We start from the raw sequence: 5,795 nt of genomic DNA, 5'->3' as shown, positions 1-5,795 counted from the left end.
TCCTGTTAGGGACAGCTACAGAGTTCTCTGTTTCTATAGACTGTCTCTCTCTTGGGAAGAGATTTTATATATATTTCAACTTCTCTTTTAGATACAGGGGGTACACGTGCAGGTTGGTTACATGGGTACATTGTCCATAGATAGTGAACATAGCATCTAATAGGAAGTTTTTCAACCCATGTGCACTCCCTCCCTCCCGCTTCAAGTAGCCTGCAGTGGCTATTGTTCCTATGTTAATGTCCATGTGTGCTCAATGTTTAGCTCCCACATATAAGTGAGAACATGTGGTATTTGGTTTCTGTTTCTGTGTTATTTCACTTAGGGTTATGTCCTTCATCTCCATCCATGCTGCTACAAAGGACATGATTTCATTCTTTTTTATGGCTGCATAGTATTCATGGTATATATGTACCACATTTTCTTTATCCAATTCACCATTGATGGGCACCTAGGTTAATTCCATGTCTTTGTTATTGTGAATAGGGTGGTGATAAACATATGAATGCACGTGTCTTTTTGTTATAATTATCTGTTTCCCTTTGGGTATATACCCAGTAATGGGATTGCTGGGCTGAATGGTAGCTCTGTTTTAAGTTCTTTGAGAAATCTCCAGACTGCTTTCCACAGTGGCTGAACTAATTTACATTCCCACAAACACTAAATAAGCATTCTCTTTTCTCTGCGTCTTTGTCAGCATCTGTTGCTTTTTTATGTTTTGACAATAGCCATTCTGACTGGTGTGAGATGGTATCACATTGTGCTTTTGATTTGCATTTCTCTGACGATTAGTGATGATGTGCATTTTTTCACATGTTTGATGGCCACTTGTATGTCTTCTTTTGAGAAGTGTCTCCTCATGTCTTTTGCCCATTTTTTAATGGGGTTGTTTTTTTCTTGTCAATTTGTTTAAGTTCCTTATAGATGCTAGATATTAGTCATCTGTCAGATGCATAGTTTGCAAAAATTTTCTCCCATTCTATAGGTTGTCTATTTACTCTGATGATAGTTTCTTTTGCTGTGCAGAAGTTTGTTAGTTTAATTAGGTCCCACCTGTTAAAATTTTTTTTTTGTAATTGCTTTTGAAGACTTAGCCAAAAATTATTTGCTAAGGCCAATGTTAAGAAGGGTATTTCCTAGGTTTTCTTCTAAGATTTTTGTAATTTGAGGTCATACATGTAAATCTTTAATCTGTCTTGAGTTAATTTTTGTATATGGTGAAAGGTAAGGGTCTAATTTCATTCTTTTGCTTGTGGCTAGCCAGTTATCCCAGCACCATTTATTGAACAAGGAGTTCTTTCCCTATTGCTTGTTTTAGTCAGCCTTGTCAAAGATCAGATAGTTGTAGGTGTGTAGCTTTCAAAATAATAAGAGCCGTCTATGACAAACCCACTGCCAACCTCATACTGAATGAGCACAAGCTGGAATCATCCCCCTTGAGAACCAGAACAAGACAAGGATGGCCTCTCCCACCACTCCTAATCAACATAGCAGTGGAAGTCTTAACCAGAGCTATCAGGCAAGAGACAAAAATAAAAGGCATCCAAATAGGAAAGGAAGAACTCAAACTATCTCTCTTCACTAACAACATGATCCCATACTTAGAAAACCCTAAAGACTCCACCAAAAGGCAATGAGAACTGATAAAAAATTTTAGCAAGGCTTCAGGATACAAAATCAATGTGCAAATCAGTAGCATTTCTATACACCAATGATACCTAGGGTGAGAGTCATATAAAGAACACAGTCCCATTTACCATAGCCACAAAGAAAACAAAATACCTAGGAATACAGCAAATCAAGGAGGTAAAAAATCTCTACAAAGAGAACTATAAAACCCCAATGAAATAAATCATAAACAAAACAAATAAATATAAAAATATTTCATGCTTATAGGTTGGAAGAATCAATACCATTAAAATGGCCATACTGCCCAAAGCAATTTACAGATTCAACACTATTCTTATCAAACTACCAACAGTATTCCTCACAGAATTAGGAAAAATTATTCTAAAATTCAAAAAAGAGCTCGAATAGGCAATGCAATCCTAAGCAAAAAGAACAAAGCCAGAGGCATCACACTGCCCAACTTCAAACTATACTATAAAGCTACAGTAGGCCAGGTGTGGTGGCTCACGCCTGTAACCTCAGCACTTTGGGAGGCCAAGGTAGGCAGATCACTTGAATTCAGGAGTTGGAGACTAACCTGGCCAACATGGTGAAACCTAGCCTCTACCAAAAATCACAAAAATTAGCTGGACATGGTGGCAGGCACCTGTAGTCTCAGCTACTTGGAAGGCTGAGGTGGGAAAATCGCTTGAGTCTGAGAGGCAGAGGTTGCAGTGAGCTGAGATCACGGCACCACACTTCAGCCTGGGTGACAGAGCAAGACTCTGTCTCAAAAAAACAAACAAACAAAAAAGCTACCGTAACCAAAACAGAATGGTGCTGGTACAAAGACAGACACATAGACCAATGGAGCAGAATAGAAAACTCAGAAATATAATCTGCTCTTAAGTTGAAAGTAGGAATAGAGGCCTATTTCTATACCCCTGATCTATGCATGGAGCATTAAATGGGGTGATAGCCTCTGGTATTCTTAGCTTGCTTCACCTGGCATAGAATCTCTACCCTACAAGTGGGCTGGGATAAAGATAATTGGGGCCCAATATTCTTGGCTTGCCAAGCAAGGGGTAGAACTTCCATCCTATGAGAGGGGGCTGGATGGAGGAGGGGAACCCCAGACATCTTGGCCAGGCTTACTTGGAGTAGAACTTCTGTAGCACAGAGCCAGAGGAAGGGTGGATGAGAAATGCTGGTGGCTTCACCACCCTGGGGAGAAACTGTAGCTATTGTACCACTAAGGGAAATGGTAGCCTTATGTTCTTGGCTGTAAGTTCCTGGAGTATAGCTTTGATTATACTGAGTTGGGAGTGGGGTAGGGAGAGAAAATGTCATGGCTCAGATGCTTCAGATTCTTGTTGTTCTTACAGAGACTTAGTTGATTTTCTTGAAATAATGTTTCTACATTTGTGGTATGCCTCTCAGGATGATTTCCAGGGATATATATATATATATATTTTGTATATACTTATATATATTTATATATATTTATAAATATATTTTATATTGCTTGCTTCACCTGGCATAGAATCTCTCTCTCTCTCTCTATATATATATATATATATATTTTTTTTAAACGTTTTCCACTAGGTATGGTTGTTTCACTAAAGAGAGGGTTTATGTAGCTCCTTATACCACCATTCCAGAAGTGTCCTTCTATATGATTTTATGTGTTTCTTTTTGTTTATATTTTTAGATAGTTATTTGTTTTTCAGTTTTCTGACTTATCTGTGTACTTGAGTTGAAGAATTACATAGTTTACAAGGTTTGCTACAAAATGACATCCTCATCTCCTCTCTCTATTTTCCCTAAAAAATCACTTTTAATTCTTTTTAATTGATATTAAAAACTTATCTCCTTGTTTAGAAGTAATATATTTATAGAACAAAATCTTTTTTAAAATAATTTCAGTTTTATTGCCAGGTGTGGTGGCTCATGCCTGTAATCTCAGCACTTTGGGAGGCCAAGGTGGGTGATCACCTGAGGTCAGAAGTTTGAGACCAGCCTGGCCAACATGGTGAAACCCCATCTCTACTAAAAATACAAAAAAAATTAGCTGGGCATGGTGGTGGGCACCTGTAATCCCAGCTACTTGGGAGGCTGAGGCAGAACAATCACTTGAACCCAAGAATTGGAGGTTGCAGTGAGCCAAGATTGAGCCACTGTACTCCGGCCTGGGTGACAGAGCGAGACTCCATCTCAAAATAATAATAATAATAATAATTTCAGTGTTATTAACTTCCCATGATAGCAGATGAATACTGAGTTCTATTTCACTCTGCCATATCTCTGACATATGCTTCCGTCATGCCTCTCTCAAGGTAGTTGTCATATTCATTAGATCAATACTACATGTTCATATCAGTGTTTCTGAGTAGTCCCAATATTAATAGCTGAGCTATACAGAGTAGTGCTTTCTTTCCCTTCTCATTTTTAAAAATTTATTTTTTCCTAAGGTTAATATTTGTTGGGCTCTCTTATTTGCTTGGTTTCCCATGTCATTATTACTAATTCCAAACTCTCTCTGATTTATGTAATTTTCCTCTTACTGTATTCAAGCACCCAGACATTTAAAGACATCTCCGGAGAGCTTCTGACCAGATTCTGCCTGAACTTGTTGCTCTCTGGGCTTAGGATGCAGCTGCATCTTAGGATCCTCACCATCCTTTTGGACAGTCCCTTCATCCCTGTCTTGTTTTAGATCTTCTGTTTTCTGTACCTCAGGTCTTCTTTTTTGGTTTCTACTTTTGTTTTAGTGGAGTTCATCCTTCAGTAACTCCCTGATAAAGCAATAGGGGGGTAAAGTTTTTCAGACCTTGTTTTATGAAAGTATATTTATTCTACTTACTAATAGTTTGCCTGGGCATGAAATTCTAGGTTGGAAATAATTTTACCTATGGTTTTGAATGACTTGGTCATCTGTTTTCTAACTTCTAGTACCATTTTTAAGAAATCCAATGCCATACTGATTCTCAATCCTTTGTATTAAATGTAACTTTTTTTTCACGAAGAGTTTACAGGATGGGTTGCTGCTGTATCCTAAAGTGTCACGTAAGTGTGCTGAGGTGTAGGTCTATATTCTTCTGTTGTGCTAGATATTTGATGGGCCCCTTCAGTTTGGAAAATCATGTCCTTTGAATCTGAGAAAGCTTCTTGGATTCTTTGAGCATGCTCTTCCCTCCATGTGATCTCACCTCCATCTGGATATCCTTTAAGCCAGATGTTAGACTCCATGGGCTAGTCCTCTAAATTAAAAAATGTCTTATATCTCCAATTTTCTTTCTTTAATTATTTTCTGCTTACAAATATGTTTAGTAGTAGCATTTCTTTATGTTAAAGAAAAACAAAGTTCAAATGCCCAACCATAATTATGTTAAACACTTGGTATGCATATGAATAAAGACAAAGGGCTGCTGAGCAAATCTGAATTTAAATAGAGGTGTTGTAGGTATAATTAACCGTAACTTATTTTTTGAATAAGTAAGAATAAAGTCACTGGCTGCAAAGGATTATTAGAGATGTATTTTCCAAAATTCATTTATCTGGACTCCCTCTCCCCACCTCTACCCCCTGCCAACTGAGCAGACCTCCCACTATTAAACCAAAATGACTACTCACCCTCACCCCCCAGCAGTTATAATACACAACATCACTGCCCCACCAGATCAGGGGAACAGGGCATTTGGCCTGTGGCTCTGCAATCTTTATCCTAATCTTGTTCCAGCTTCAAGAGCCTAACAGACGCCTGTGATCACCTGAGACTTCTTAAACAGCACCGATACTTCTATCTGGTTGGAACCTTAAATGCCACCACTCTTCAGAGACAAGGTTCTCACTAGATTCTAAATCTGTTATTTAAATTACTTTTCAATTTAGAAAAGGAGAGAGAGAAGAAACTTATTAGAATAAGGCCACCTAGGAATGTTCTTAACCTCTCCATTGAGCTTTTGGCTGATACACGAAACTACACATAATAAATACAACTTTTCTTCCAGGTGCACAGCTAAACAACAGCTTCTGGCACTTGATCTCCAGTGTTCAGAAAGACGCACTGCCCAGAGTCAAGCTAGTGTGTAGATCCAGTGGCCTCTGCCAATGAGGGCTTGCCAGTCATCAGAGGACAGACAAATAGGATCCAGCACCAGTTATTGGGCCTTCCCGCCTGTTGAGTTTCA

General features: G+C 38.5%; 1 annotated feature.

The window, feature by feature from the left end:
- Nucleotides 417-918: an enhancer, noted in NCBI's record as "NANOG hESC enhancer chr21:42241274-42241775 (GRCh37/hg19 assembly coordinates)". NCBI's record gives its function as "activates a minimal SCP1, AML or CMV promoter by ChIP-STARR-seq in primed H9 embryonic stem cells {active_cell/tissue: H9 hESC(primed)}" and the evidence as "EXISTENCE:reporter gene assay evidence [ECO:0000049][PMID:30033119]".

The sequence above is a fragment of the Homo sapiens genome, chromosome 21 (genome assembly GCF_000001405.40).
Source record: "Homo sapiens chromosome 21, GRCh38.p14 Primary Assembly".
Classification (NCBI taxonomy): Eukaryota; Metazoa; Chordata; class Mammalia; order Primates; family Hominidae; genus Homo; species Homo sapiens.
The sequence above is the reverse complement of the archived record's forward strand: the minus strand, read 5'-3'. Positions and strand labels throughout refer to the sequence as shown.